The sequence below is a fragment of the Homo sapiens genome, chromosome 6 (genome assembly GCF_000001405.40).
Source record: "Homo sapiens chromosome 6, GRCh38.p14 Primary Assembly".
Taxonomy (NCBI): domain Eukaryota; kingdom Metazoa; phylum Chordata; class Mammalia; order Primates; family Hominidae; genus Homo; species Homo sapiens.
In genome coordinates this window covers 9,382,525-9,397,312 of record NC_000006.12, presented here as the reverse complement: position 1 = coordinate 9,397,312, position 14,788 = coordinate 9,382,525, and positions in this window count along the sequence as shown.

Here is a 14,788-nt window from a genome sequence, read left to right as displayed (position 1 = left end):
GCAGGATGTATAATAATTTAAAAATAATTGCTGAGGAATCTATTGTAAATTTGGTCCCAATGTGATCTGAAAATAAATTTTTGATTTTAAAATCAAAATAAAATATGTAATTTAAAATTGACCTCACGAATTTGGAGGAGGCTTTAGGTCCAATGTGGTCTTATGGGGAGGCACTATTAATGGTTTTCTGATACAACTGAGTTCCATCAATTGCTATCTCAGCCACTTTTAATTTTGTGATTTATATTTCCCACAAACTCCAAAATACAAATGGGTGCCAATGAAACTATAAAGAGCTGTAAAATCTATGTTTTCAGTATCTGTGCAGGAGATGCTGAGGGAGAAAATACAATATCTTTACAACCTAAGAATTCAAAAATAACCAATAGATGCTTATGAAAACTGTCTGTGACCCAGTCTGAGAACAGCTGCTGGCGTGGGGAGGAGTACACGCTCCAGTGGTGGGTGAATTCAAAGGATCTGAAATGTCTTGAGCAGACTGGGCCAACAAGGCCCTGGCAACTTCTCACAGCGAACCAGCCAAACCTCCCTCCCTGGAAAAGAATCCCACATTGAGAAGAAATTGCTGGAAATAAAATTGAAATGTAGCAAGACAAGGACAATAGGAATAAAGGAAAAATAATATTCCAGTAAAACGATGCAGTGCATATGTGTGAATGAGTAGAGAAGGAAAAGGGACTAAGGAGATTTCAGAAAGCAAAGTATCATATCTTTAAACATTTCACAAGGACCACAGAAGAGAGTTCAAGAGCTATCCTGGAAGTTCCTTAGAAGTTAGTAAAGCTATTCTTGGCTGGGCACGGTGGCTCATGCCTGTAATCCTGGCACTTTGGGAGGCTGAGATGGATGGATCACCTGAAGTCAGAAGTTTGAGACCAGCCTGGCCAACATCGTGAAACCCCATCTCTACTAAAAATACAAAAAAATTAGCCGGGCGTGGTGGCACTCGCCTGTAGTCCCAGCTACTTGGGAGGCTGAGGCAGGAGAATCACTTCAACCCAGGAGGCAGAGGTTATAGTGAGCCAAGATTATGCAACTGCACTCCAGCCTGGGTGACAGAGTGAGACTCCATCTCAAAAACAAACAAACAAACAAAACCAAAACAACCCAAGAAGTTAGTAAAGCTATTCTAAATCAAATTTACCTCCTAAAAATGAAGGAAAATAAATTTTTGTAAAAATTAGCAATATAAAACAATTAATATCAATCCCATGCAATGTCATCTTTAAAAAAAAAAGAGATTAAATATCAGGATAGCACTTCTGCAGGCAACAGTCTTCTAGAAAGGCATGCCCACAAAAAGAGAAAAGCTATCTTCAAATATTTCTAACAAGAAACAAAAACAACAAAAAACCCAAACTAAAAACTAAAAAGTATTAAGAAAATGATTCAAGTTATTAAGCAGTAGCACAAATTAGAACTAGAAAAAAACTCAGAAATGAGGTGCTAAAATTCCAAAAAGAATTAAACGAAAATGTTTTTTCAGAAATGAACATAAACAAGAACACATGTAATGGTAAACAAATTCAAGAGATAATGACTTAAAATTATATAAAAGAAAAGAGAAAAAAGATTTTAAAGCAAAAAGAATGAGAATGATTAAAAAGATTGGAGAAAAAATGACACATATAAAGACCAGTCAATCAAGAATTCAACATACATATAATGAAAGTCCCTAGAAAAAGAAAACCGAAGCTAGGAAGCAGAACAACTATAAGATCACAATTCTGGAAACTTTTCAGAAAGGAAAAAGATTCCAAACTACAGATTAAAGAGGCATACAGCATACCTGGAAAAATAAACCCAGAATTAACAAAACTGACACATTCAGTAAAAGTATCGTACCGGTAAAAACCACTGGTCATCAAAGAAAAATAAAATCAAAACACCTCTTGGTGTTTTAGTAATTTATAAAACAAAGAAGACCAGATTGTCATCAGACTTTCAGCATCAGTTTATGCCAGAAGAAAATAGAATATTAATTACAAGTTAGCCAAAAAAAGAAAATATGAATGAAGGATTTGATATCCAGGCAAATTGACTTCTCCACATAAAGACCATAGATAAATTGATGTCACATGAAAGAACTCAAACAAATTGTTCCTATAGCCTTTCTGTAGTAAATTCTTATAATTTCGTGTTCCTCTGATATTCATTTTAAATAGAAGTTAGACTTTGTCTTACCAGATGCGGGCCTCAGTCACCCTTGACAGTTTCCAGTTCTCTGCCTCCTCCCAGTTCTTCAATGTGGTTAATCCAGATAACTGCCTTATACAACCACCTCCTGGTGACCACCTGTCTATGGGAGAGCTAGATACAACCCACTTCACCTGCCTGCTGACCTCCACCCCCTACATGGACTATGCAGATGTACCACACAGACCACCTCTGAGTCACTGTGCAACTCCACATGCATGCTTGCGATGAACCCACCAATTAGAACTCCCCATGGGAAACCTGCTTGGGGAATGCCTTAGATCCTAATACAGCCTTTGGCCCACAGATCCCTCGCTCTCTCTTTCTCTTTCCCTTTCCTCCCACTGGCTGAGTGTGCATGTCTCACATGGCAGCTTCCCCTTCCTGTTGTTGGCCCTACGAGGTGTGACACCTCTTGGCTCTGTGACCTGTAAGTAGTAGAATTGCTTCTATTACTTCGTGTGTTTTGCCATGCTCCCTCTCCTGTTTCTCGTCTGACTGACACACTTGTGCCTAACTCTCCTCCTGCTCAGGGCTCTCCTACTGAGTGGCTATCTTGGTAGAAATAAACTGGACACAGGTCAGACAAGAGCACAAAGACATCTGCCAGTGTCATCAATTTTCTTGTGAGAGGGACACCTGGTCACACATAGGACACTTAGGCATTGAGTCATCCAGGAAGATAAAGAAATACCCCAAGAAAGACACAAGACACACTGTAAACACCGATGATCAAATCCCTGGAGTCCCATGAGGGCAGGGCCAGAGTTTACAGTCACTTTAAGGGGAGAGCTCAAGACCAAAGTAGAGGAAAAAATGAACAGATTCCTTAGAAATAAATTAGAAAACAAGCTTCAGACAACCAATATGACTATAGAGACATCAACATAAAAAAAGTTTGTAAACATTAAATATACATTTACCTACAAAATTGAAAGTAAGTGAGATTTATGAGAGATTGATTATAGTAACTAAGAGCTATATTATACAGATAATAAAACTACAAATTATACAGAAAGAATCGCAAAAATGTTTAACTGTTTTCAGTAATCATTGTTGGTTGTAGTGCTGGTATCTTATTTTGATAGTGTTTTATGTAGTAACATGATTCTATCATCTCTACCATATTAAGAATCAATATGGTGAGGAAATAAAGAGCTACAGTTATAAGATAGAAGAGGTTAGATAAACATGCTATGGTTCTCAATTCTAAGTGGAGGGATCTGCATGAAAACATAATTGTGTTCTCTCATAAGTAACTCTTATAGTTATAATTCGGAGTTCTAAGTGGAAATATGTGGGTATATTTGCAAACACACACTTTCAAATTCAAATTTGAAGTCGCAATTATAAGGTGTTCACTGAAAAGAACTTTCGGGCCAGAAGAGAAGCAGTAAACTTCACATCCCCAGTGCTCATTTCACATGGGCTTCTTGGAGAAATGACTGATTGCAAGTCTGAGGCAAGAAATGTACAAGTTGAGGAGCTTGGGACACATTATTTTACTAGATAAAAGGAAGTTATCAGAGATTATGAAAAGGATGTGGGAGCCTATTGTGTAAGAAATTTTGGACAAAATTTGGACAAATTAACTACCAATAGGAATGATAACAGCAATAAGTAGAGACAAATCATATGTTAAATATATGAATTTATAATCACACAGATGCACAAGAACACACCCATACACATGCAACAAATAGACAAAAAAATAGTGAGATGTGAGTTTTGGAGGATGCTAGATGTCTTAGTCCGTTTTGTGTTGCTACAACAGAGTACCTGAGACTGGGTAATTTATAAAGACCAGAAATTTATTTGGCTCTTTTTTGGAGGCTGGGAAGTCTAAGACTGGGCAGTCCATCCGGTGAGGTTGTCATGCTGCTGTAACTCATAGTGAAAAGTATAAGGAGGTACAGGTGTGTGCAAAGCCATCACATAGTGAGAGAGGAAGCAAAAGAGTCTGGGAAGCCAAACTCACTTTTATAACAACCCACATTTGATGTCCACCTGTTGTAGATTTGCATCCTGACCTAGTCACTTTCTAGCTGTGTGACCTAGGACAATTTACGTAATTTCTTAGTTAAATTTTTCTCAACTCTATAATAGAATGAATAATATTCTAATAAGATTGTCAGGAGAATTAAATAGTCTATATATGATATTGTTGCACAGTACATGATACTTTGTCATATTTATTAAATGTTAGGGATTATTTGTAACTAATTAGTTATGTTCACTTGGTTAGCATCATGAATACACAACTCTGGTATATTAAGAGTATTGGCCATAGGGCTGGCATGTCTGCTGGTAATAGTTACAACCAAGGAGTAGAAGGGATTATCCTAGGAGAAGGAAGAGAGTAAAACAGCAGTGAACCAAGGAGAAGACACTGAAGACTATCAACAATACAGTAATAGAGAAGGAAGTGGAGTCTACCTAAAGATTAGTAAGTGCAGTCAGAGAGTTCAGAGGAGTGTGGGAAGGTAATAGTGTTGTAGATATTAAGTCAGGCTCCTAAATTTTTTTCTGAAATCCTCTTCTCAGAATAAGACTCTCATGTACAGAGGTGCAGGTGAGCCCTGCACAACTCTGTGGAGGGCTATCTTATGTGTCTGGAGCCCTTGGAGTGGATAGGCACCAATCTTGCACTGCCATAGACAGGCTACCATAACTCCACAAGCGCTCAGAGTCTGCAGAATTATTTTCACTTGCAGCAGTATATTATGTGCACAAATGTTTTCTCTTTCTTGAATACCCTCTTTTATTCTTCCCATATGATATGGTTTGGCTCTGTGTCCCCATACAAATCTCATCTTGAATTATAATCTGGATTACAATCCCCATGTATTAAGGTAGGGACCTTGTGGGAGGCGATTGGATTGGGAGGGTGGTTTCCCCCATGCTGTTCTTGTGATAGTGAGTGAGTTCTCATGAGATCAGATGGTTTTAAAAGGGGCACTTCCTCCTTTGCTCTCTCTCCTGCCTCCAGGTAAGACATGCCTTGCTTCCCCTTCGCACCTTACCCATGATTGTAAGTTTCCTGAGGTCTCCCCTGGCCATGCAGAACTGTGAGTCAGTTAAACCTCTTTTCTTCATAAATTACCCAGTCTCAGGTAGTATCTTTATAGCAGTGTGAAAACAGACTAATGCAGCACAGATCCCCTAGCCTTGGAGTCTGATAGCAAATGTGTGCTACTCTTTGAAGATTTCATTGAAATCTCTCAAACACATCAGGTTTCCCCGTGGTGTTTACATAGTCTCTCAGGAAACAAATTTATATGTTTTTGCATGAATTGTTTACATATTTGTCTTGATCACAGGCTGAGAACTCCTTGAACACAAAAGCTATATCTTAATATCAATAATCCCTACAATTGGCATAGCAGTATTCAATAAGTGTTTGTTGAATAAATGAACAAATGAACAGAGATATCAACACCCACATCTAGATATAACTCAGTGACAAAATCTTAACATTACAGAAACTTGAAAATAAAATCTCAATAAGATGTCATTTTTCAGCAATGCATTCTGGTTTTTTTTTGTAAAATCAAAAAAGTAGACATTAAGTGAAATATTCTAACCAACTAATATGCATCTAAAATTTATGCAGACAAAGGGAAGATATACATAAGCAATCACAGCCCCGTGACCTTGCTCCTGGAAAGGCAAATCAAAGTCAGAAAATTTATTTGATGGATTTAAAGACAAAGCATGGATAAGAAGTTCAAAAAACTCCTCAGCTACTCCTCAGTAATATAAGTGATTGTCTATTTCTAGGGCCTTGAATACTCAATAATGGGACAGGAACACTGGGAGTCAATTAGCACAGTAAGGAATACCCACTAATGTGGTTATATGTCTGCTCTCTGTTTTTCCTCTGTTACCCTTTTTTGTTTATTTGTTTTTGAGACAGCGTCTTGCTCTGTCACCCAGGCTGGAGTACAGTGGTGCAATCTTGGCTCACTGCAACATCTGCCTCCTGGTTTAAGCGATTCTTGTGCCTCAGCCTCCCAAATTGAGTAGCTGGGACTACAGGCACATGCCACCACACCTGGCTAACTTTTATATTTTTAGTAGAGATGGGGTTTTCCTATGTTGGCCAGGCTGGTCTCGAACTCCTGGCCTCAAGTGATCAGCCCACCTCAGCCTCCCAAGGTGCTGGAATTACAGGTGTAAGCCACCGTGCCCGCCCTATTAGTATTATTCTTGTCATAGTTTTAATGAATCGATAGGGCTAATATCAAAGGCCAGATCTACCTAAAAGGAAACAGTTTCACCTACCCATTTACCAGGAGTTGTTAGGCTGGTGATTTTGAAATTACCTACTTCTCCGAAAAGAATTTTACATTTCTCATTTCCTCTGTTTCTAAAGTCTTGGAGAATACCTCTCTATAGATCCTAAGTATTAACAATAGTCATTACTTGACCAGTTTGATTTGTGGCAAATTTAGTAGACAGGATAATGGTTTTCACATGGTGTTATGAAGAACCCTAGATGACATATGTGTCACACAACTGAGGTGGTCCAAAAGGTCAAAGTCAAACATCTCTGGGCTCATGCATCTCTTCCTTGTTTCTACCACTGTGGCTTCATGTATACTTTCTCACTTCTTGAACTTTTAAGTAATTTCTTTGAAGAAGGAGCTCCTTCAGGGAAAAGCTTTTTTAAAAAAATCTATTTCTCTGATGACCTAGAAAGTTCCAGAGGACAGGCTATGGGGAGGATGGAAATACGGGATTAGAACAGGGCTTACCCAGTGGAAGTAGACAACCTTAAAAAAGCATTTCAACCTCTGGTGATGCTCCAGAAAGTCTTCTGAAGCCACCTTTCCCTCCAAGTATTATTCACGGAATTTCAAGTGTGACCTGAGCCTTCCAGAAATCTCCACTTCAGTGACCCTTGAAGGCACCTCATCCACAATGGACCTCATCAATTTCTGCCCTCATGTCACTTGCCCAATAGCCTCTGTCTCAGTGAACATCACCCACATTCAGCCAATCACTAAAGCCAGAACCTGATGGGGATGGGCATAGAGTTACGCCTCTTCCTTACCTCCTTCATGAGGATAAGAAAGTCTGTGTATTTTGTCTTCCTCTTGGTTTCATCTCTTCATGCTCACTGCCATTTTCTTTTTTCAACCCCTCAACACGGTCTGCCTGGATTACTATGACAGGCTCCAGACCATCCCCTGCCTCCTTTTTCATCTTCTCCAGCCAGTTCTCTCTTCTGTAGCAGCACATTCTTTCTATGCCTTCAAGATAAAATAACAATCTGGCATCCCAGGTCTTTTGGTTCCTTCAGTACACTCTCTCTTGCCTTTTGTCTTCTGTTATGTGATTTTCTCTTCCAGGAGTATCCTCCTTGCCCCATCTTCACTTTCCAGCAGATTTAAGTAGCCCAGCTCACATGTTCCCACCATCTATTTCATGTACTTGTGTGACCACACTGAATCCATTGCACTGTAATTATTTATTAATGACTTCCCACCGCTTCTGTTAAGCCCCGCTCTTTAATCAAATTAGGAACTAGATGCATTCACTTTTGTATGCCAGCAACCAGTACAACAGCAAACACATAATGACCACTCAGTAAATGTGCTTAATGACTAAGATTCGATGAATGAATCTTTGGTATTATTTTTAGTTTTCTGCTTGATTTCCATGTCATGGTGCTTTTTGCCTGACAGAATTTCTTCTCAACTCTTGAATTTCTTCTCAACTTCACTTCCTGAGAGAGATTTTTGCAAAGCTGCCAAGATGTGCAGTATAGCTGCCCAAAATATGTACATTTCAATAAAAATGAATGCATATTTTATATTTTCTGTTGTCCAAATAATGTTTCCTTAGTCCAGTTGGTATCAATAATTGCATGGTAAGACTGGAAAAATATCTTTAAAATATTGTTATTTATTTTTCATCACTTTTGTTAAATACCACCCTTCCTTGCTTTTTTATGCTTTATAACTTCCAGAGTAATCTAACACTTAGCTGTTTGAACACGTGAGTATGGCTAATACAGAAAAGGGCTGCTAACTTGAAAACTGCTCAGTCATACCACAACTGGGATGGGAAGTGGACTCACGACCCATTGGCCCTTTCTGGGGCTATTTTCACATTTTCAGGTGTGGTGCACCTGTGTCTTTTTGGCAATAGGCTTTTCGGGAAGACACCTAAATCCAGAGTCAGCACTATGTCTCAGGTTCCTTTGGTGAGTTTTGCCATAATTGTAGCCACCAGTCTGAACTGCTGTGCCACAAATGCACACAACGGGCAAAAGTATGGGCTTTTGCAAGCACTGTGCAACTGCTCTCCTGTGAGCAGAGTTGAAAGCAGGAGTCAAGATGTATAGGGAAATTACACTAGATTTATTTACAGAAACCATTTATGTTGAACTAGCAGTTTCCTATTGTGTCAGCAATTTTCTATTGCATTTATTTGTTACTACAGTACTTGGCAAGAGTGCAATCCTATTAAACCTGTACAATACATTACACAAAACTGTAATCATTTTCTATTTTATAAAATAAAAAGAACTGTGACATTTGTACAATTGTGGAGTCCTAATAGAATTTCAAGATGGAAATGCATAGTCTTGGGCAAAATTGTTCTGAATGCACTTTTTCGTTCTTTTCTTACCTCACTTCCAGTGTTTTCTCTTTTCTTGATATGAACAATAACTATCTACGAGTCTTGACTTCATGAATCAAGATGAAAAGGAAGAAATTCCTGAAATCCAGCTTTCTTTCCTGCCTTCAGAACATTGGCTCAGCTTCTATTTTCCATAAACCAACAACCTTAAAGCTGGTTATTTAAATAATTTTAAAATTAACTACTAGTATTGTTATATTTATATCTCACAGACCAGTATTATCTAAGACAAATAGAATTAAGGTTTAAATTTAAATCACTCTGTGCTACTAACTGTTATTTCTACAAGACAATTTCTGCCTTCTCTTGCCATGTTCTGGAGCCAGTCTTGACCAACTCTGACTTTATTGAAGGAGGTCCCTTCACACCAGTGAGTGAGGTATGCAATTCATGTGGCTACCTCAAAATATGTCAGATATACTTGCTGTAGCAAGGCCTAGGCCAAACTGCAATATGTCAACAAAACTATAACATATTCCCCTAAACCTCAATAAATTTGGCACAACCTATCCAGTATAGGACTTCCAGATTGATTGCCTGGTTGGTGCTCCATATTCACATTCTTCTCTAACACTGATTCGCTTTCTGACTTATTGACTAAAGGTTCAGATTCACCATCCTTGCTCTAACATGTTGTAACTAAGAGATTTTGGGCAAACTGATGAACTTTGCTGAGCCTTAGTATTCTCACCATTAAAATGCAACAATTAAACCTGCTTCATTATGAATATTAAGTTTTATTTACATTAGATTAAATATACTTATTGCACATAGTGTATGCTGAGGATTAAGATATAGAAAACAGGCCAGGCTCAGTGGCTCACGCCTGTAATCCCAGCACTTTGGGAGGCTAAGGTGGGTGGATCACCTGAGGTCAGGAGTTCGAGACCAGCCTGGCCAACATGGAGAAACCCCTTCTCTACTAAAATTAGCTGGGCAAGGTGGCAGGTACCTGTAATCCCAGCTACCCAGGAGGCTGAAGAAGGAGAATCGCTTGAACCAAGGAGGTGGAGGTTGCGATGAGCTGAGATTGCATCATTGCACTTCAGCCTTGGTGGCAAATAGTGAAACTTTGTCTCAAAAAAAAAAAAAAAATATATATATATATATATAGAAAGCAATTAGTACAGTTTCTAGGATGTAATGTGTGCTCAATTCATGGTTATTATTGAGGTAGATATGGTTGATATTGCTGATATCATTATTGTCACTACCGATCTCCTCTCATCTTCTTTGATGTTCTTTTATTTTTCTAATCATTAATGGGTGTCTCATTTTAAATAAAACTAACAACTCACAAAATTTGTATTTTCACTTTGATGATCATTATTTCCTAGAAATTCTTGCTAATATACCAGTGTAATCTATTTTATCAACAAGCTAAAGAAGAAAAATATTATTATTATATCAAGTGACAGTGGAGAAATCATTTGACAAAATCAAACATCCAGTCATGACAAAAACCTTCCACAAGTTAGGAATCGAGGATAATTTACTCAACTTGATAAAGAACATATACAGAAAAAAATCCTACACAGTTAACATCACACTTTTTTTTTTCCTTTTTGAGACAGGGTCTCATGCTGCCGCCCAGGCTGCACAGCTGTGATTTCGGTCTACTGCAACCTCGACCTCCTGGGTTCAAGTGATCCTCCTACCTCAGCCTCCCGAGTAGCTGGGACTACAGTCGTGCACCACCAGGCCCAGCTAATTTTTTTGTATTTATAGTAGAGATGGGGTTTTGCCATGTTGGCCAGGCTATTCTTGAACTTCTGCACAAAAGTGACCTTCCCAACGTGGACTCCCAAATGCTGGGATTACAGGTGTGAGCCACTGCACCCACCAACATCACACTTAATTGTGAAAAGCTGAATGCCTTTGCCCTGACATCAGGAAAAGGCAAGGATGATCACGATCACATTTTTTATTCAACATAATACTGGAAGTTCTCTTCACTGTAATAGGCAAGATAAAGAAAGAAAAGGCATACAGAGTGGAAAAGAAGAAATAAAGCTATCTGTATCAGATGATATGATAATCTCAACATAGAAAACCTTAAGAAAAACATGCAGAAACCTCAGAATTAAGTGAGTTCAGCAAGGTTGTAAGATACAAGTTCCCCACACAAAACTCAATAGCATTTACACATATACTAATAATAATCATGCAGAGACCAAAATAAAAATGCAACATTATATAAAATTGCACCAAAGGAAAACATATGGGTATATGTCTAACAAAACGTGCACAGGACCTATATATTGAAAATTACAAAATGCTCGTGAAATACATAAAAGAAGACCTAAATAAAGGAGACACTTATTGTGTTCATGGATTAGAAGACTCAACATAGGCCAGGCACGGTGGCTCACACCTGTAATCCCAGGACTTTGGGAGGCCAAGGCAGGTGGATCATCTGAGGTAAGGAGTTCAAGACCAGCCTAGCCAACATGGTGAAACCTTGTTTCTGCTAAAATTACAAAAATTAGCCAGGTGTGGTGGCACGCACCTGTAATCCCAGCTACTAGGAAGGCTGAGACAGGAGAATTGCTTGAACCCAGGAGGTGGAAGTAGTAGTGAGCCAAGATCTCACCACTCCACTCCAGCCTGGGCAACAGAGCAAGACTCCGTCTCAAAAAAAAAGAAGACTCAACATAGTCAAGCAGTCAGTTCTCTCCAAATTGACCTATAGATTTAGGGCAATTGTAGTCAAAATCCCAACAAGGCTTTGGTAGACATAAACAGGCTTATTCTAAAATCTATCTGAAAAGGCACAGGCCCTAAGGATAGTTAAAACAATCTTGACAAAAAAGAATAAAGCAGAAAAAGTTGTTCCACCAATATTAAGTCTATGTAGCAACAGTAATCAAGGCAATGTTGTACTGTTGGAGAAAAAACACATAGATCCACAAAACCAAATAGAGGAGCCAGGAAGAGAGCCACACATGATACTCAACAGACTTTGACAAAGATTCAAAGAAGGAATTTTGCTCTTGAAGAAGATGTGAGAACAAATGAATATCCATAGGCCAAAACCAGCCACATGAATGAATGAAAAAAAAAAAACGGAAAAAATACTACTTAAACTTCACATACTATACAAAAATTATCTCAGAATGGATCATAAGACTTCAATGCAGGATATAAAATTATAAAACTTACATCGGGCAAAAGTACTTGCTGGTATTAGATTTCAGGATAGTGGTTACTTTGGGGAAGGTGGGGCTGGTACTGACTAGGATGGGTAGAAGGAGAATTTCTGAGGGCTAGTAATGTTCTATTTCTTGATCTACATGGTAGGTGAAATGGGTGTGTTCACCCAATGGCAAAAATTCTCTGACACGTGCAATTATGATTTATAACTTTTCGGTATGAATATTTACAAATAAAGTTTTTTGGCTTAGGGTTGAGGAGGGGACCAACAGGGGAGCCAGGGCGGCCCTTCTGTTTCTTAGCAGTCCCACTCTGTAACATTAGACCCTTCCTCAAACACCCTCCATTTTTCCCCATTAACTAAAGAATGACATTCAAATGCAATAAAATGGCATGTAAGACTCTTTGTTACCCAATCCCACCGTCTTTTACCCAGCCACTCCCTTTACCCCACACTCTGCCTCCATTCATTTTTAACTAATATTGGTTGGTTTCTTACTTGGTGCAGAGCATTGTGCTAGATGATAGCAACTGATTTTGGAGCAACACATACAGGGTTTTCTCTCTTGTAGATGTTACCATCTAGTCAGGAAGACATGATTAAATGGTCAATTATATTTAATAAGCTTGAGTGTTATGACAGAGGAAAAGTAGGATCTTACAGGAACATAAAGAAGAAACATCTAACTTAATCTAGAGGAAGGGAGCAAAGACTTCTGGCAATTAAGTTGAAGCTAATAAAAAGGTTCATAGATATTCACAAAGTAGAATGCTGTGTGTGTGTGTGTGTGTGTGTGTGTGTGTGTGTGTGTGAGAGAGAGAGAGAGAGAGAGAGAGAGAGATGTGATGTGAAAGAGAGAAAGGAAAATCCAGACAGAGCGAAAAAGAGAGATACGTTAACAAGTCACCGGTTAACTTAATTGTGAGAGACTTGTCTTACATGGCTTCAGTGGGCAGAATTAAACCAAATATTTGGACCCATAGGAAGAAAGATTTAGTATTTTTAAATGAACTTACTTTTAAAGAATTTAAAAATAGCTAAATAACTTTCTGAAATTAGAATAACTATTATGTTGAGTTTTTCATTGCAGTAGCTTTTCAAACCAGATGACATAACATTTAAGCTTAAGAAGGGGGGGATTGGACTAGAACATCGTTCAGATCCCTTCTGACACAATGACTGTGTGATAAGCATGGACTACATGCACTGCCTTTTGGTTCTCAATAATTCATTAAGGTGTTGCTACTTCTAAAGAACACATTTGGATTATGATTTCTCAATAAATAGGACCCATATGAACACAGAAAGAGACTGAAATATATATGCTTATATTTCTTATATTACGAAGCAGTGATTCCTTTTTTTATAAAAGTCACTACCACATATTTAATCATAACTAAAACAGGTTACATTTTTTCCTGGTGTGAAAGTAGTAGAAAAGCACATCTACTTCTTTTCCCCTTCACTTTGTAGCTAGCAGCATTTACTGTTTGACAAACTACAACAAGCCCGTGCTATCTGAAGGGGTTTTTGAATGGTTAGAACTAGAAAATAAGGGAATATCATGAAATCTCTGTTTGTCCTCATGGGTAGTCTAGTCAAGTTTCTAAATCAAAGAAGTTATATTTTGTTTGCTTCTGTAAATTGCTTTAAGTTCACCTTCTGTTAAGCAGAGCAAATAATTTGTTTGTATGTAAGTATTGAGATATTTTGAATTTGTCAATGAGTGGCACATATGAAGTGGGCCTTGGATTTCAAATAATACTGAAACTATTTAGATTTCTTTCTTTCTTTTCTTTTTTTAAAATTATCCCATGTGATTCTTTAACTTCTTTTTATTTTTATAGATTTAGGGGGTACAAGTGCAGTTTTGTTACATGAATATGTTGTGTAGTGATATGAAGTTCGGGCTTTAGCGCGTGCATCGCTTGAATGGTGTACATTGTACCCATGAGGTAATGTCTCATCTCACTCCTTTGAATTTCTTATTTCTTACTGTAGCTATCATCCAAGTTGGTTTTTGTTTTTCCTCAATATTTTACTCAATCACTTTCTGCCAGAATATTCCTTCTGGGCCTGAAACCGCTGCATTTGGCCAGGTAATGCCATTCTCCTCTTGCAGTTTTGCTCTTTGGAACTGATCTGGAGATGTATGGGCTTGTTTTCCAAAGAAAAGCATTGGTTAGACTACCAAGATTAGAAGCTACCTAGGTGTGTGGTAAAACCGTTCAAAACGTAGCAGAACAAGGCTTGTGAATGGAAACGTAATACCTGAGTTACATTCTGCTTGAAAATGTAACAAATATAGATGAGTTAAAAAGGAAAAAATAATTTGTTGAGGAAGAGAAGTTTAGGTTCCAATTTAGACAATAACTGTGATTAAATCCTTGCTAGAGCCTGAGCAAAACAAATGAAATTGAGTGGCTTGTAATAATCAAACAGACCACAACCGAAGACAAACTTCAGTCACAATTTACTTGCTAATGACTTCTCCCCTTCCTATTGCCAGTACACTATTGGCCTTGGAGGCTGAACCCTGAAAGCACTAAAAACCTTTGCTTAATATTGTATTCAATCTATTTCCAGGTTTTTTTTTCTTTGTGTTTATAGAATTTTTTTCAATTATCTGGTAATACATTTCAGTATATAGATTAAAAATATCTTGGAATTTTTATCCAGCATATTTGTTTCCTCCTAAGATTCTGAGTGCAAAGGAATAACAACAAAATCAAGTTAAAAAAATCAATATGCAATTTAAATTGTAAA